This window comes from Homo sapiens, chromosome 11, assembly GCF_000001405.40.
Source record: "Homo sapiens chromosome 11, GRCh38.p14 Primary Assembly".
Taxonomy (NCBI): Eukaryota; Metazoa; Chordata; class Mammalia; order Primates; family Hominidae; genus Homo; species Homo sapiens.
This window is the reverse complement of record NC_000011.10, coordinates 22734534-22753813: the sequence shown is the minus strand read 5'-3', so window position 1 is coordinate 22753813 and position 19280 is coordinate 22734534. Positions and strand designations below refer to the sequence as shown.

Genomic DNA, 19280 nt, shown 5'->3' with positions numbered 1-19280 from the left:
TAAAATATGTTTAAATATAAATGTGTGTATATACATGTAAAATATGTTTATGCCATTGCTAGAAGTGGTACTGTTTTCCTTATCACCACAAATAAGGGCTTCCATGAGGAAAGCAAGGATGAAGAAAGGGAGGGGCATTGGGAGAAGGGGTCGATCATCCAGAAGAAAATCAGACTGACAGCATCAAGAAAGCACATGGCCTGAGGCCTGAACTTTAGGAGGATCATGCTTGGCACAATTTTGCTGCCATGTGGTAATTAACCAAAGAGTAAATTGATGTTCAACTGGTTCCTCCACTAAAAAATGACAATCACAAGTCTGTATGGAAAGTAATTCCATTTTGCAGTCTTCTTAGACAAAAGACAGAAACTCTTGGTATCAAATGAAATAAAATACAAGAAACATTTTCTCAAGTGGCCTGCCCTTCTCAAATGCCTTTCTAGCTTTGAAAATGGAGTTCATTTTAAAAGTCAAGGGCTGTTTTTGTAGTTGTATGAGAGGTGGAAGCAGAAATGGAAGAAACAAGGCCAGACTGTGGCCAGTGGAAATATATTGTTAAGTAAACAGTGACTGATGACATCTGTGCTTCTTACATTACCTAGGGAAAAGTCAGTCTGGCAGGTGTTCTTTTTTGGCTAGGAACCCAGCCAGTTTTCTGCTGAAATGGGATTTCAAGAGGAGCCTGATTACTCAGAATTATACTATCTCTCATCCCCAGACTGAGGAAGTTGATGGAGAAGAGGAAGAAAGTAAGAATGATTTCTGAGAACTGTATTCAACTCATTGTGTGAGAACTAGCTCGCGAAGAGGAGAACTAAACCTGACTCCACCGTTTTATCACAGCTGAATCACTCTATCAGGACATCTGGAGAATAAATTAATCTGAATGGAAACCACTGTGTTTCTTTCATGATATCTTGATTAAAGAAGGTGATGTATTTTCCACATAAAGGGTCACCTATTTTTTCCCACTATTCCCCTAAGTATCAAACAAAGAAATGTGAAGAAACATTGAAGGTTTCAAAACTGGCAGTTATTGCTGAAACTGTTCACTGGACTATAATATCTTAACACAGATCTGCTTCTTTTGCTTTCTCTCTTTTTTCTTCTTCTTGTTTTTTTTTCCCTTCTTTTACTCCTCCTCTTTCTCTTTTTCCTCCTCCTTTTCTTTTTTGGGGTGGCAGATAATAGCTTTCCCAGAGTAAAATTAGCCAATATTATTAACTAAACGCAGAAACTCTGCAAGCAATCTCTATTTTATATTTCTATTCTAAAACCCATGTTGGAGTACATCATTTTCAACCCCGAACTGCTATATGTGCCTCACATGCAGTGAAGCAGTTACTATAGGAACAATTTCCTTTTATATTAGATGTATTAATTTCTGATTTAAAACATTAGTGAAGCTCAGATTACTTTTCTCTCTGCTCCACTGTTCCTGAAATAAAACACTTCAGTAAAAAAAAACCTATCAAACAGAATGCAAATAGTTCAATGCAGTTTTCCCCAGTGTAAAATGAAGGAATAAGAGACTTCTGTGGTCAAATAAGTTTAGAAGATTCCAGGTTAAACAAGATCTTATTATGGAACTCACTAGAGCCTTTGATATGCCAAAGTTTATCACCAGACTCTGCATGAGGACTACAGTCCTAATCTATATATAGTAAGTTGTATTTTTCAAACTAATTTAACCGTGGTGTGTTTGATCAAACATTGATTGAAAAATGCCATTTTAAAGACTTGTGAAACATAATATTCTAGCTGACAAAGTTACAGAAATATCCACATTGTATATTTCCTACATTTGATTAAAACTTTGAGCAGATGTTTATATTCTAAATTCTGGTAAACTTTAAAGAAGGCTTAAAGCTCCTGAGAAATCCATTCCATTGTTCTCAACTGAGAGCATACAATTTGGGAGTAGGGGAGAACCACCATGTATTGACTGACTGGCTTACTATTGTATGGAAAATCTTTATTTCACTCTCTTTTTCTGAACTGGAGTATTGGTAAACTCTGAAGTCCTTTTCATAGTTTTCCTATCACCTTCTTGCCCTCTCTTCTTTTTCTCCCCATCTCAAGGATTGCCAGATAGGGGACAAGCTAGTGAAGAAAGAAAATCATCCTAGCTACTTCTAGGTTCACAGAAATAGCTTCAAGTGGCAGCATCTCCACCCTCTAAAAAGCTACAGTAGAAATGAAAGGTGCATGCATTTCCAGAGCATGTGGCCAACATGGATAAACAGAATAAGGGAGAAGTTTCAACCTTAATTAGCTACATTGATAATATATCCAAAAAACACAGTACTGGATGTAGATCGATAAAATATGGTCTTTGTCTTTGAGTACAAAGTCTGCACCTTGAGATGAAAGGACATTTATACCCAAAAAGGTAAATGCTTCATTAAATAGATACAAATACTTGGCAGCACCAAGGAATGATTTGCCAGTTATACCTGGGATGAGAGATACCAGAAAAATCTTTATATAGGGGGTAGCGCAACCTGAATTTTAAAAGATGGAAAGGTGTTTAAAAGTAGTGTAACAGGTGAGTAGGCAGAAGTATAGTGAGAAAGCAACAATGGCTACATCAAAATTCAGGGACTAATGCAGCAGACAAAATAGCCAGAAAACACACAGTAGGCCAGAACATGGAGGGCTATGGACTATATGACATATGAATGAGCTTGGATTTCACCCAAATGTTATAGAGCACCCTATATAATTTTAATCAAGTCCAAAGTGCATTTAGTTTTATCCTTCTGGTAGCAGAAATGTTGTAGAGATGCATTTCAAGAATGGAGTGGTCAACAGTGTCAAATACCAGGAAGCAATCTCATAATTTCCGGACTAAAAAAATTCATTTGATCCAGTAATTCATTCAATAGGAGGATAAGAGGGACATTAGCCAGATACTCTTTAGTGGTCTGGAACCCTGACTATAAGGCATTTAAAAAAAAATGAATGAAGGTGATAGCTGAAAGGAAATAGACTATAAGGAAGTATATTTGCCCCAGGGAAATATATTTATAACATAAAGACTAGAGGTACATCTTACCCTAAAGTAAGTCTAATAAAAAAAGTATAATTGACACAGAAGAAAAAATGTTCTCATCAATATATAAACAATAGATCATTATCTACTAATAATATAATGTTACTCAATTTCCTTACAAAATAAAAAGTGAAATCCTATGAAAAGCAAGGTATATGACCAATTCTTCAAAAAAGTTATGTGATTTTAAAATCCTTTTCAGTAGCTTTAAATCAAAATGTCTTTCCTGTTCTTCTTTAGTTCCTGAGTGATTGAACAGTTACCCAGAAGAAACCAAATTAAACTAGCTAAGATACCTTTAAGAGCTAATATGCTTGCTGCCCTTAACAGAAATGAGGGTTCTTAATCTATCAGACAAACTGTTATATTTCGGCTCATCTAAATCTGCAATATAGTTGATCGTGTCACATGGAGAAAAGCAAAAGTCAGAGAAATCTCTTTTTCTGCATCCTGTAGTGTCCAACCATTTTCCCAGCTCTTTTCTGCTCATATCCTGGAGGAAGAAACTCACAGCTATGGACCACCAGTCCTTTTCAGTTCTGCCTATTTTCACAGCTGGCATTGTGGTTGGTGCTAGTTTCTAAGGACTCTCCCCATGTATGTGAGACATACGTCACTCTAATGCCTCTGGCATTGCCATTTTCTATAAAATTAATAAGCAACTACAACTCCCACAATACAAACTTTGCATAAACAACATCCCAGTCACTCATGATTTATCTCCTTTATTAATTTTTTTTATATTTGCACTTAAAATATATGTGGAGGGCATATGCACACACATACTCAAGCACACTACTTTTCATAACCAATAACTACTTAACAGACAACCAAGGTCACTTGAGAGTTTTAATTCACCATGTTTGCTGTTATACCTAAAAACGGTTTACTGTGATTCTGTTAAAACATTTCCTAACTACCAAAAATTGTGACTCAAGGGCTCTGCTAAGTAGAGCGACCTTGAAGAGTTAGACAAAACTTTTGTTGGAATCTAAGCTCCTCTCCTCCCCTCAGCAGGTTACTCAATTTCTATGTTTCCATTTCTCAAGAGGGAACCTGCCTTTCATATATGAGAGCACTTGAAAAACAATGGTAGTCCATAAAAGGCACTTAACTTCTCTATCATACATTTACTTTCCCTTCTTTAACAATCCTCAAGATCTTGTTTTCAGACTTCTCATCTGTGAAAGGGGGAATGGTGATCCAGTGACAAAGAGACTTTCATGTTTTCAAATACAATTTTCAGGGAGTTGACTTATTATTCTAAAGTTTTAGATATTGGTCTGCAGCATTAAATGACACTTTATTTTGAACAACTAGTTCAGTTTTGAATCTCAAAATGAATTGTAGGACTACAAAGTTTTTCATATGGGCTTAAAATACATTTCAAGAAAATTGATATAGGTAAAGATTAGACTGATACGAGATTGCACAGAATATGTTTTGTAGTGCAAGAAAGACTAACCGTTGGTAAGAAGTCTGACTGATTTTACTTACTGCATCATCCAGTAAGTTTCCTGTACTCTTTTTTCCAGAAGACTTTGATGAAGGAGAAGGTGAAGGAGAAGGGGCAGAAAGTGTTTCTTCTTGTTCAATCTCTTTTTCCAGCTTTATCAAACCAGGAGGCTCCACACCATACCTTTAAAAAGACCCTGGATCATTACATATGCATAACTTATAATGATACAATTACCATATATTACATGTGATGATGAGCACCATGGGAGTAAATCACTGACTTTTAAAAATAACATTCACTTTTTTTCTGGCATTGAAATTGTAAGCTCTTGAATTAGCATCCTTCTAAGCAGAGGCAAAACATGTATACCTGCTGTGTATGCATACGTGTACATATATGGACACACATAGTATACTAAAAATAAATAAAAACACTCAATGCAATATATTAATGAAACAGCAACATGAATAACCATGTAAATTTGGTCTTCAGCATTCACATTTACCAGGTTTACTGATACTAGTGCTGTAATGAAACTATTTTGAACCTAAGTTTGTTAAAAATAGAAATACAACCAGAGGGTCAGACTCAAGTTTGCAAACAGCAATCCCCAGAAATAAACATCTTTAAATGATTTAGCAGAAAAGAATTAACTTTGAATATATTTCCTATGGGTCCAGAACATTGTACTATGGGTTATACAATGTCATAGGTTATGATCCTAGGAATAGCATAATGAAAGCATATATATTGTTTTGGGAAACAACTGAGCATAGAGGAAACAGAGACATAATTTAGAGTAACAATGTATAAAACATGTGTTTTGCAAATTATAAATGCCAGAAAAGTTCAAAGGGAGAGACATAGTTACTATCTCCTGTAATCATATATTTCTTTAGCTAAATATAAAATTAGATTTGGTTTCCTAGGTACATATCAACTGTACCTAGGTGGGGGAGGCCAATAATAATTCTAGAATTTGAGAGTTGTGAAGGGTTTTGGGGATCATCAATTTACACCCTCTCACTTTTACAGATAATAGAGATCTAGAGAAAATATATAACTAGCAAGGAGCAGGATAAAGACTTAAATGCAGTTTCTCTGACTTTAATCAGGTGACTGGGTGTTAAAAAGGAGGGGAAAAGTCACTTGGAGATTTAAAAACATGTTTTTTTTAATCTACTATTATCTACTTTTTTATCTATTTTTAAAAAATATACAAAGTAAATAATCTATAGATAGAGAATATGTTGACAATGTTTTAGTACTTCTTATTGAACAGTATATGAAAACATCATTAGATTTAACCTTAAGTAATTGTCCTATTCTAACTGCTTATTATTTTAACTGATACCATTACACATATGTTCAGTACATACTCCGAGGGGAAAGCGATTTCCCTATTCTTGATGTTTTGTTTTTGCAGTGGATGCTCAAGTAGTTTTATTCCTGGCTTTTCTGCTTCATTACCCATCCACTACAAGATAAAGGGATTTATAAAATTAGTAAATTTATGAATAAACTGAGCATGCTTTACTTAGTTTACCCTACTTCTGGGGAAGAAGCTGTCCACCGGGAGCCCTCCACATGGACCCCCCACTTTGCTTGTGACTAGATAGTTAGTTGGCCTAATTCTGGAGCTCTGTTAAAGACACCAAGCATGTCTATTGGCTTGGATCTTTTTAGCTGTAAAGGTGACATGCAAGTCTTTTATTTTCTATTTTTTTCAGAATTCAGATAGTAAAGAGGGGTGCTATGTGTTAGGAGCCCTTTGAGAGATGGAAAATTTAAACAAAACAGTCTAGTGAGCCCAATTCTACTGAACAATTACTGCTTTTAGAACAGACTCTAGTTCACAGATTAATGTTTACTTACATAGATATCACTTGCTAAAAGACTGTAGGCACCATTGAACATATTTCTAATCTGTTGTACATAGGTACCAGTTTATGGGACAGGACAATGGTGGAAACTGCTAGACTGCAAACATAGTGGTAGAGATCACTGTCTGTCTCCTTCCAAGAATCACAAGCATCTTACATAAGATCTTGGCACAGGGCAATAACCTAACAGCTACCATTTGAATGTAAAAAAATTCTCTATTCTCATATAAAAATAAGGTTCTTAATATAAATTCAGTCTTATGGTTTTGAATCCCTAACTGCATATAAGGCTTTAATAAAGCATGTAAGTATTAAATGTACAAAAATGCTTGACCAAGTTAATCTAGAAGACTTCAACCTTGTCCAAAACTAGAACACATTTTTTTTAGTTTTCTAGTAATCATTGATTATGCTGAATTCTAGACAGCATCTGGTTACCTTGCTCTTGACAAGTACCAACAATACTCACATTAAGATTTGTTTCTCATTCTTCTCTGAGTTATTTTGAACTAACTGTTCCATTGACCTACTTAATTTTTTTATTTTTTAAATAATTTCAACTTGTATTTTAGATTCAGGGGTACATGTGCAGAATTGTTACATGGGTATATTGCATAATGTTGAGGTTTGGGGTACAAATGATCCCATTACCCAGGTAGTGATCATAGTACCAAATTAGTTTTTGTTTAGCCTTTCCTCCCTCCCTTGCTCTCCACTCTAGAGTTCCCAGTGTCTTTTGTTCCCATCTTTATGTCCATGAGTACCCAGTGTTTAGCTCTCATGTATAAGTGAGAACATGCAGTATTGGGTTTTCTGTTTCTGTGTTAATTTGCTTAAGATAATGGCCTTCAGCTGCCTCTATGGTGCTGCAAATGACATGATTTCATTCTTTTCTATGACTGCATAGTATTCTATGTCTTACATTTTCTTTATCCAATCCACCATTGATGGGCAATTAGATTGATTCCACATCTTTGCTATTGTGAACGGTGCTGCTATGAACACATGAGTGCCTGTGTCTTTTTGGTAGAATGATTTATTTTCCTTTGGGTATATACCTAGTAACGCGATTGATGGGTTGAATAGTGGTTCTCAGCTCTTCACAAAATCTCCAAACTGCTTTCCTCAGTGGCTGAACTAATTCACATTCCCACCAACAGTGTATAAGTCTTCCCTTGTCTCAGCAGCTTCACCAGTAACTGATGGGTTTTTTGTTTGTTTGTTTGTTTGTTTTTGAGACATGATCTTGCTCTGTCACCTAGGCTGATGTGCAGTGGTGTGATCATGGCTCACTGCAGCCTTGACCTCCTGGGCTCAAGTGATCCTCCAACCTCAGCCCTCTGAGTAGCTGGGACTACAGGCAGATGCCACCATGCCTGGCTAAATTTTTTGTGTGTATTTTTTTGTAAAGGTGGAGTTTTTGTAATTTTTTATAGAGGTGGAGCTCGTCTCAAACTGGGGTCCAGTGATCTGTCTGCCTTGGCCTCCCAAAGTGCTGGCATTACAGGTGTCAGCCATTGTGCCTGGCTTCATTGTGGTTTTGATTCACATTTCTCTGATGATTAGTGATACTGAGAATATTTTTGTATGTTTTGGGGCCACTTGTATGTTTTTTTAAGTGTCTGTTCATGTCTTTTGCCCAAATTTTAATGATGTTATTTGGCTTTGCTTATTGAATTGTTTAAGTTTCTTATGGATTCTGGATATTAGACCTTTGTCAGGTGTGTAGTTTGTGAATATTTTCTCCCATTCTGTAGGTTGCTTCTTACTCCATTGAATTTATTTTGTTGTGCAGAAGCTCTTTAGTTTAATTAGGTCCCACTTGTCAATTTTTGTTTTCGTTGCAATTGCTTTTGCAGATTTACTCTAGTATTTAGGAATCCTAGTATTTCCTAGGATTTTTTCTAGAATTCTTATAGCTTGAAGTCTTACGTTTAAATCTTTAATGTATCTTGAGCTAATTTTTGTATATAGTGATTGGTATGGATCCAGTTTCATTCTTCTGCTTATGGATACTCATTATCCCAGCACCATTTATTGAATAAGAGAGTCCTTTCTCCATTGCTTATTTTTGGTAATGTTGTCAAAGATCAGATGGCTGTAGGTAGGCAGCTTTGGTTCTGGATTCTATATTCTGTTTCATTGTTCTGTCTGTTTTTGTACCAGTACCACACTGTTTTGGTTACTGTAGCCTTAGGGTATAGCTTGAAGTCAGGTAATGTGATGTTTCTGGCTTGTTCTTTTTGCTTAGAATTGCTTTTGCTATTTGGGCTTTTTTCTTTCTTTTTTTTTTTTTTTGGTTCCAAATGAATTTTAGAATACTTTTTTCTACTTCCATAACAGATGACAGCTGCAGTTTGATAGAAATGGTGTGGAATTTATAGATTGCTTTGGGCAGTATGGCCGTTTTAATGATATTGGTTCTTCCTTTGTTTGTGTCATCTATTATTTCTTTCAGCAGTGTTTTGTGGTTCTTCTTGTAGAGATCTTTCACTTCTCTAGTTAGATGTATTCCTAGGTGTTTTATTTTACTTTTTTGTAGGGAGATAATTTGACTTCTTCTTTTCCTATTTGGATGCATTTTATGTCTTTCTTTTGCCTGATCGCTCTGGCTAGAATTTCCAGTACCACGTTGAATAGGAGTGAAGAGAGTAGGCATCCTTGTCTCATTCCCCTTCTTAAGGGAAATGCTTCCAGTTTTTGCCCAGCTTTTGCTTCAATATGATGTTGGCTGTGGTTTTGTCATAGATGGTTCTTATTCTTTTGAGGTAGGTTCCTTTAATGTCTAGTTAGTTGAGGGTTTTTTTTATCATGAAGGGATGTTGCATTTTATCCAAAGTTTTTTCAATATCTATCAGATGATCATATGGCTTTTGTTTTTAATTCTGTTTATGTGGTAAATTACATTTATTGATTTGCATATGTTGAACCAATCTTGTATTCTAGGAATAAAACCTACTGGATCATGGGGAATTAACTTTTCGATGTGCTGTTAAATTCAGTTTGCTAGTATTTTGTTAAGAATTTTTGCACCTGTGTTCAGCAGAAATATTGGCCTGTAGTTTTCTTTTTTCATTGTGTCTTTGCCAGATTTTGGAATCAGGGTGATGCTGGTTTTACAGAATGAACTTGGGAGGTGTCCCTATTCCTTAAATTTTGGAATAGTTTCAGTAGAATAGGTACCAGCTCTTCTTTGTATGTCTGGTAGAATTTAGCTGTGAACTCATCTGGCCCAGGGCTTTTTTGTTGTTGGTGGTGGTGGTAGGCTTTTTACTACCGATTCAATTTCAGAATTCAATATTGGTCTGTTCAGGGTTTCAACTTTTTCCTGATCCAATCTTTTGAGGTTGTATGTTTCCAGGATTTTATCCATTCCTCTAGAGTTTCTAGTTTGTGTACCTAGGGTGTTCATAATAGTCTCTGAGGATCTTTTGTATTTCTTCGGGATCAATCACAGTGTCATCCTTGTCATTCCTGACTGAGCTTCTTTGGATCTTCTCTTTTTCTTTGTTAGTCTAACTAGTGGTGCATCAATCTTGGTATCCTTTCAAAGAACCAACTTTGGGTTTCATTGATTCCTTGTATGGATTTTGGGGTCTCAATTTTCTTCAGTTATGCTCTGATTTTAGTTATTTCTTTTCTTCTGCTAGCTTTGGGTTAGTTTGTTCTTATTCTTCTATTTCCTTTATAACCTACTTCTAAAATTTCACAAATCACTTAACTTCGATGAGTCTATTTTCCATCAGAAAAGTAGAAATGAAAATGGCCTGTTCTCAAGGTCTGTTGTAGCAGTGGAGGGAGGGAGGCAAGAGGAAGAATCTTAGAAAAGCAACTGCTACTGAGCATCTTCAATGCATCTGACATTGCTGGATATCTTGACATATATTATTTCTGAAACTCAGTTTTATTTAAATATAAAATGGAAATTCTAATTTCTATGTTTTAGTATTATTAGAAGGAATTAAATAGTGTACTTCATGTGCCCAGTATAGTCTCTGACACATGGCACAACATCTGAGATTGTTGATAAGTTAATTGACAAATTAAGTGTTGTACAATCTGGAAACTGCAGCACTAAGGTTCTGTTGCTAAAATTCTTGGTTTTTAGAATATATTATACCACTGAATGACATCATGTTAACTTCAAAATTAAGGTGTTAAAATACAAAGTAATATTATTATATTCTTTACCAAAAAATTTACTGTAGTCATTCTTTAAATAAATTTCCCTAGAATTGTGAAATGTCAGAACTATCTCAGTACTGGAGTTTAGCAGATCAAGTTATAAATTCAGCTTTGCTACTAACTCACTGGGTAAAATTTGTCAAGCAACCCCTTTTAAACTCTGTAAACTTTTCTGCCATCTTAGTTCCAGGAAGCTATAAAATTTGGTTATGTTTAATGGTCTTAAAAGAATAGCATAAACTTGGTAGTGAGGCTAGAGTAACTTAAGACGTGAGAAGTCACAGCCAATTAAAAGTCATCCATAAGTGAAAAATATCATATTTGAAACTTAAATTAGGTGAATTGGAAAATATGATTTCATTTGTAATTGTAGGTGGATTCATGCCACCTTTCAGGAATAGATTGCATAATTTTTAAATTTTTTTACAAAGTGAAATAATAATACTTATGTTCGAGTAACAACAGACTTGGCTCTATGTCCAATATAAACAAAGTAGACTAGGTTTGAATAAAATTGGTAACAAAGTCACACATGGAAAACCTTTCTCTGGAGATTTTTCTTTATCTGGGAATGCTGAAAATTAGTTATGCCGCTGAACATAAAAAATCAACACTAAGTCCCAAATCTCTGCTTATATTGGCTTTTGAATACTTCAAACTGCCTAAGGTACAGTCAGCCAGTCCTGAAATGCATACTTAAATACGATTCACTGGCTTCCTGTCTGTCTGGAGATGTCAACAGATTGTAAATCACAAAATTCCCTTTGGGTTGGGGGCTTGCACCTGCAAGTCAACTTAGTCATCAAATAGATCTTTTTTCTGTTCTCCAAAAGGCTGCTTCATTCTGGTTTCCATGAACTCTATACCACTCCACATTTTTATTTTGTCAATGAGGTTTTCACACATTTATAGTATTTTCCACTCCCTTCCAACCACAAGATTTCAGAGTTTTAGAATGGGGTAGCTGTTGTTCTCAAACTAATTAAGGGTCACACTAAAGAGACCAAGAAGGTAGAATCCACTAAAATCATATCCTCATACCTTTATACCCCAGTGATAATGAAAGTAGGGCGAATACTCAAAGGGCAACATATTTTTGTCTCATTTTTTTTTAAAGTGATAGGGAACAGGTCTTATGGTTAATGACTTTATGATGAGGTTTTAGGAATGGATTTCTCATTTTTCTGGCACTTGACACAGTTTTTGAGCTCTAGGTAAAATTACTAAGACCCCAAACTGAGGCCTAAACTAGAAAATTTACTCAAACTATTTAGTAGTCTAGAGTTTTCAAACAAAAGACATCTGGATCCTATTTTACTAGGGTTAGAGGGACAAATTTTACAGCCTAGTGCGAGAAACTGTCCTTTTTAAGGCATATAACAGACAGTTTATAGATTCCTGCAAGATAATTTTTTCCTCATTTATCTTCTGTTTTAAAGCAATTTAAAGATTGATTTAGATTTGGAAGGAAATTTCAACCATGTGAAAGTATATGATGTTCTCAGCAGTTAGTTCAAGTGCTTTAAATAGGATGGGTCAGTTAATCATCTTTGTATAAGAATATTTTTTTCTTTTAAGTAACATTTCCTTTTAAAAGGTAATGAATAAAAATCACAGATTAAAGAAAATGTTCCGAAAGTATTTTTCTTTTAAATGATCATAAATTTTGCTCCAAATCAAAGAAATACTAAAAAATAAAATTCATAAAAAACTCCACTATACCACTGATTATTGATTATGACCCTAAACGAAAATATCAAAAGTTTTTTTTTTACTTCTATTATAAGGATCATCTTAATTCTACAGTCAAAAAATGCTGAATTTATACTAACTTTGTTTTCAGCAATGAATATCAAAACACTGTCAGTAAAAATATCTTTGAGGTTTTATTAACTTGCTTTTACACAGTTTTACTTTTCACAAGTCAAACACATATTTTATATTCAGAAACTGATATTTTTCTGAAATATTAGCAGAGGGATTTCACTCTTCAGTGATGATAGCTCTATTTAGTTGAAAATAAAAGTAAGTTTTACCCATGAGAACAAAAATAAGTGGTCTCATTCAGCCATCTCAGAACTCAGAGAAGCCCACAGCTCGCAAAGGAGCTTCCTAAGTGTCCCGAGAGGAAAACATGGCAGAGAATCAGAAACTCACTGGGAATCATTTCCAAAGTGATGTTTATGGTTTTAAAATTATGTTTATGTAATCTGGAAAAGTGTTTAGAATCAAATATAAGAATACATCGTCTATCAATGATGAAAAACACAAAACTCACAAGATTGTACTGGAGACTTCATTAAGGTCTAAACTCATCTGCTCTGTGTGCAAATTACTGTTGTGATTATTGAGAGCTCTCCCAAAATCACTTCTAGTTCTGCTTAAAACTGTTTTAAGTCATTAATTTGTATAATCCTCTATGGGTCTGTGAGAAGCACAAATTTAAGCATTTAGATATATGTCTAATGTATGTAAGGCAAAATTTAGGAGTAAAATTAGATTAAGAGAAATTTCCCTTTTTTCTTTCAACTAATTATGCTTCAACACAGGGGTAAAACAGTAAGATCTGAGTTTATTGGGTTGCCATTTGTAAAACACGTTTGAATTTGCAACAAAATCAAAAAAACTTTAAATGTATCCAGAGAGAAACTTAAGACATTCTTACTTAAATGTTCAATCTATCCTACTGGTATTCAACTATTTACCATCATGTCACACACTAGAATAATAGTAGCACCATGAATAATTTATTAGGATTTTTTTTATTGCTGAAGGTACACAATAGTTCACACCATCCAAGTTGAGTCAAGAAGATAAAAGGCCAAATTTACAAATTAAATATTTTAATGTAAGGGTTATCTTAATCCTTATGGAACTTCTTTTGTAAAATCCATAATATAGTTTTTGGTAATGTGAATAATCACTGCTTTTATCAGGTTGCGTGGAAATGAATCATGGTCAGAAATGGAACAAACCCAAATCACAATTTTAAAATATTTGGGTGGGAGGAACTATTCACATAATGTATTACCTTGAAAATGACAAGGCCATTATAATTCACTTTCATTAACCAAGATTTTAATTTGTTTTACATCCTGTAACAAGGGGCAATTTATGCCAGACTCGGAGCTGGAGGAAAGGTGATTCTTAAAGGCATTTTCTAATTGGGCAGCTTGTCTTCTTCTTTGATGACTTGGCTATAATTAAAATGTTTATTCAGCGGGCTCCCTAATCACCGTGCTCATTTAATATAATATATAATAACAATATATAAAATAAAATCCAGAAATAAGGCAAATGCTATAAACTTAAATGGGAGGAAAATTTATAAATCCCACCTAATTCTAGAGACAGTATAACCCCGTCTCTTTACTTCTGTATCACAACTTTCAGAAGCAAGAGGCTTATCTGATGAAATATTTAGAATATTTAAGTAACAAGATTATATCTGGCATTTTAGAGTATTCTAATGTGATAGTCAACTAAAAAAAAGTTTTTTGTCTGTTCTCTCTTTAAGTAGGAACTCTAGACAATCCATATTTCTTTTACTTGAACATTTCCTTGGCAGCAGTTCATTTATTGAAATTTTATTTAGTTTGATTTCCTACCCCTTGTATTTTTAACTTCCCCTTTCTTTTTTTTTTTTTTTTTTTTTTTTTGAGAGCGAATCTTGCTCTGTCGCCCAGGCTGGGGTGCAGTGGTGCAATCTAGGCTCACTGCAAGCTCCGCCTCCCAGGTTCACGCCATTTTCCTGCCTCAGCCTCCCGATAGCTGGGACAACAGGCGCCCACCACCACACCCGGCTAATTTTTTGTATTTTTAGTATAGACAGGGTTTCATTCTGTTAGTCAGGATGGTCTCGATCTCCTGACCTCGTGATCCACCCGCCTCGGCCTCCCAAAGTGCTGGGATTACAGGCATGAGCCACAGCGCCCGGCCAACTTCCCCTTTCTTAAGCAATAGATGCCGAGTCCTTGGTTTTCACTTGACTTAAGGCCATTTGTCTTCCAGGCCAGAAGCCCCAAGGTTGGTGGGGGAGTAGGTGTGGCCGGGTGCTAGAAGCAAGAGGTATATCTTTATCCTGCTCCTTCACAGAACCCAAGTATGTGGCAGCAATGATAGAGAACGAAGTCCTAAGAAACAGCCAGATGCCACAAGTTTGAACTATGCCTGAGCAGTAGACATCTGAAAGGACCAAGACTAGAGAGTTCTCCCCCAGAGGCCTTCCCACAATTAACTGGGAAGAGTGTGGGGTAAATAGAAAAACCTTCACATGTCTCAAATTGTTTTTTTACTCCATGTTGAGGTAAGGCTCAAAAATATTTAATTTGAATTGAAAAACATTAAAGCAATCTTTTGCACACCCAATTATTGTGGCAAAATGAAATTTATACCCGATGCACAATTCATGAAGATTATATTGATATGATGATTTAAAGAACTTGAGGTTACATATTCTGATTACAGGTTAATTTTCTATTGGATCAAAGAAAGGTCTATTAATTGGCAGCAAGTTTTCTAGCCAAGTTGTAAATTGCTGGTGTGTTCACCTATTTTTTTTCTTGATTTTATTAATAAATTCTTTGAGAATGTTCATTCAGTGTTAGTTCTCACTTTATCTTACTTATTCATCTGATCTCAACCCTAAAAGTATACCCAGATGTGGATAAGAAACCATTTTCTAATTAATCTTGAATTTTTAATTTGCATCAAGACTTCTTCAAACATTTGTATCTTCATTTCTTGTTCTTTGGGCTTCATGGGCTGGCCAGAAGCCCTGTCTGATGGTATGCAAGATAATAAATGGGAAAACAGGTAACCAAAGCAAGTTGCTTTAGCTAACAGAGTTCCTTCCTCTGCTTATTTAGCTATGATTTCTGAAATTAATTCTTGTTTTTCCTTCCTACAGAAAAAAAACAGGTTTCAAAGATGCTTCTACATAAGGATAACATTCTATGTCTTTCCCTAATAAAAATGTAGATAATTTTAAAACTATCATCCTAGTCAGAAGTGGAAACTAAAAGAGCAAAGTGTTGAATGAGGGTAATGAAGAAAAGGAATAAAAGGGGAGGCTGAAAATTATTAAAAAGTAAAAAGGAAGCAAGGAGGTGAAGGAGGAGGAAGATAGAATATGGGAATAGACTTTCCACTAAGGAGAACTGTCATATAAAACTGCATGTACAATGTCCTCCCCTCCCCAGGAAAGTTTTGGAGGGAAAATGTATTTTATTAGCAAATGCTTAGACATAGTGGCTTTGACAACAAGATCTTGAGGTTAGGAATATTGGTGGCACACTTTTAATTTGGTTAACTGCTGCCCTCAAGAAGTTCATATTATCATCGTGAATGAGTAGCTTCTCAACATCCAGGTTAAACATTAGCAATGAAAAGCCAGCAAGCTTCTGTGTTGCTTGGATGCTGAAATCGTCAATGTCTTGACATAGTTGCAGTGGTTTGACCTACCTGGCTGCAATCCGGCCAAGCTCTAGCAGACAGAGACACACTTCTCTGGGTTGCTTGTGGAGGACTGAAAGACAAGACAGAGGCGAACACCTTTACAATAGAAGGAATAAGCAGCTCAACAGCACAGGCTTGCCAATGACCCTCATTCCTCGTGCTCCCAGGAAAGGATCTAGTCTTCATTCTGACAGTCATAGAACCCATCCCATACCTCAATACATCTAGCTCTACTAAAGGCTTAAATTAGTTCTCAAAACTCTGCCTATGCTTCCTCTTGAAAGCTATTCGTCTCAGGAACTCTCACCCCGGAAATCTCAGGAAACCCTCAGGAAATCTCACCCTAAAAATGTTTTATTCAATTAATTAATACTGGTACATCAATATTGGATGCCTATGTAGCTGTAATTATGATACCTGTCAATAATTGATATTTAAAAACACAAATCACAACTATGGAGCAAGGGCTAGCCATTTTAATATCATGGGCCTACCTCCAACAGTGATTTTAGCAGGAAAAAAAATGAAATAAGGATAAACATTTTATACTACATTCCTTTGTTATCCTCCAAAGATGAATGTCAAAGTGAGACCCTGTCACTTCATGTGCCCTTCTAATCAAATCTGATTAAATAATATTTTAGAAAGAAACAATTTCAAATGACTGAATTTTGGAAATATGTACCAATGCACCATTAGCAAGTTTTGCCCATCACAGAAGCAAATTAGAAGGCTATACTTTGAATTGATATTTCTATTATAATATAATGTGATTAATTAGTGCATTTGCTTTACTGATAGACATTCAGTAATGTGACAAATCATACTTGCTTTTGTCAAGCCTACAAGAAGAGCATGTAAAAGAGCATACTATTCTCTTTTTTAAGCAAAATGTGGGGATTTTTACAATGTTCTTTTATTCAGCACTGAATAAAGATAAGAGAGATTGGAAAAAATTTGCACTGAGAACAGTCTTACACTGACACATAGTATTCTAAAAAAGGAAAATATTAGCTTATTGATTGTTTATTGATAGATTTTAAGAAAAAGAGCAATATTGCTTTTATTCTTAAACACAGAATTCCGTAATAATTTAACTTTCCAGTATTATTCTATTCACTTAAATATTCTAGTTTCTTCTTTCTACAGATTATGATAGTGGCAATATTTGATCCACTGACAGCACAGTGGAATTTGCTGGGTGTGTGTAGTAAATAGAATAAACACTTTTACCTGATTGTAAAAGTGTGTGATTTCATTTGGTTTTAAGGAGACATCCAAATGTATTATTATTTGGTTATAAAGTGGCATTTTAAAGCTTTTAAAATAAATTTGAATCCTACCAGAATTCTAATCCCACCATTAAATTTTAAATCCCATAGCCGATTATGGAAAATCTGAATTGCAGGATATTTCTATTACTGATAACACAAATTTTAGATTCAGATGACCATCAGTAAATTGTCACAAAGTCCTAGTTAGGGAATTTTTAATTGCTTTTAATTAAAAGGGCTTAAAATGAAGATATTTACTACCTCCAGTTTCAAATCTACTACAAGTTGACTGTGGCTAGAATGATATCAACTTCATAAGGTTTAGTATATTAAATAAATTCCAGCACAAAGTAACATAAGGGCTGTAATGCCACACAGGCATCAATTTCATACAGAGAACAATAACACATATTACGAAACAGAAATAAACAAGTGAAAATGGATCTTCCTGTATAGATCATCAATTTTTTTCTGATTCAGACTTTTTTTTTTTTTTAACATATCCATGGTACAAAATAACAAAAAGGAGTTTTGAGTGGGAGAAAGAAGTATGTAAAAACTGAGGAGAGGAGGACTTTTAAAGCTAATGCCCTCATCCTAAGTAAAAGCTGTGTGAAGCAGTGGCTATAGCATCAAGAGCTTTTGATACAATGTCATGCATTTCTTGATGACAAGAGTGTCAAAATATAAAAACTATTAGTTAACTGACTAAATTGTGTCAATGTGCAGCTAATAACCAACTATAAAAGATAATACCTGATAATAATGGTTCTTTAACCAACTTACTGTACATATTCTGAGTACTAATTTGGAAAATCAAATTCATTCTGAAGAAAAATAATAATGTGAGTGCTGTAAGAAAGACAATTTCACATGTAGGATGCATCAATATTGTGTATTTCTTTGCTTCTTCATTTGCCAATTTAAAACAGCTTTTGCATGCCAAAACTCAATATCAACTCTATCACAGACTCATTAGAAAAGCAATTTGGCAAACTGAGAAGAAACTGCATGATTCTTCATTTTATTTCATTAACAGAATCAGCCCGTTAAAATTTAAGACAGATAAACCTCTTCCCCAGCATCATTTCTTAGGAAAATGCTAACAGAAAAATGGTGTTTTACTTTCACTTCTTTGTGTAAATATTGCCTTTTTATAAAGCAATAAAATTGCTTTTAAAGCACATCTGTAATATTACCTCATATGTTAATAGTTTTTCAAATACGAATATACCAAGCCTGGCCACTAATGGACCAAAAAAAAAAAAAAAAAAAAGAATGATTGGTGACCAGCAAGCAATGACTAAGATAAATCTGTAGAGTTGCATAACTTAATGCAATACTTAGAACAGAGAAAGGACTTAGTGACTACAATGCCTTGTAAGACAAGGAAGATGATAGTTATGTGGTTATGTGGTGGTGGTGATAGGGGTTGTGATGATGAACAAACTGAATAAAGGCTAAAGTTTTACCTAGCATCTTTAGAAAAGGCAAGAATTTAAATCATGCAAATGTTTAATTGCAAAAGCAAGCACTCTTACCTTATTGCTATAAAATGTAAATTCAAATGTCTGTATGTAGTATCTATATTATACTAAAAAGGTGACTTTGGTAGTGGCACTAGAGCAAGGTCTAAACTAAAGTTAATAGATGAAAAGAGTATAATGGTTGCGTAATTCAAGCCACAAAGATCTGGGTGTGAGTATGAGCACTAATACTTGCTGGTCATATTATTTTGGGAGGTTATTCTACAAAATCACATTTTTCTGCAGGAAAACAATAGTGCCCACCTCATAATATTTTTGTGATGATTAAACAAAATAATATTTACTGTTATGCTTAGCATAGTACTTGGCACATAGAAAATAACAGCCCAATGATAGTTTTATATTTTTTTCTTTTCATTATTATTTTATTTGGTTTAGTCGATTAATATTAATTCACTTTTTTCCCTGCAAGCACTTTTT

At 34.7% G+C, this 19280-nt stretch overlaps 1 protein-coding gene across 19 annotated transcripts in view; it reads right to left on the bottom strand.

The window, feature by feature from the left end:
- Nucleotides 1-19280, bottom strand: part of GAS2 (growth arrest specific 2) — a 187054-nt gene that overhangs the window by 59242 nt on the left and 108532 nt on the right. For all 19 annotated transcript variants that reach the window (NR_147085.2, XM_047426745.1, XM_011519972.4 and 16 more), the window contains 2 exons: nucleotides 16046-16109; nucleotides 4553-4694 (listed from right to left, as the gene is read on the bottom strand). Coding sequence is in view for 18 of the 19 variants with exons in the window: in XM_047426745.1 (XP_047282701.1) it covers nucleotides 4553-4694; nucleotides 16046-16109 (206 nt within the window). In the remaining variant the exon portion in view is untranslated. The remainder of the gene's footprint in view (nucleotides 1-4552; nucleotides 4695-16045; nucleotides 16110-19280) is intronic.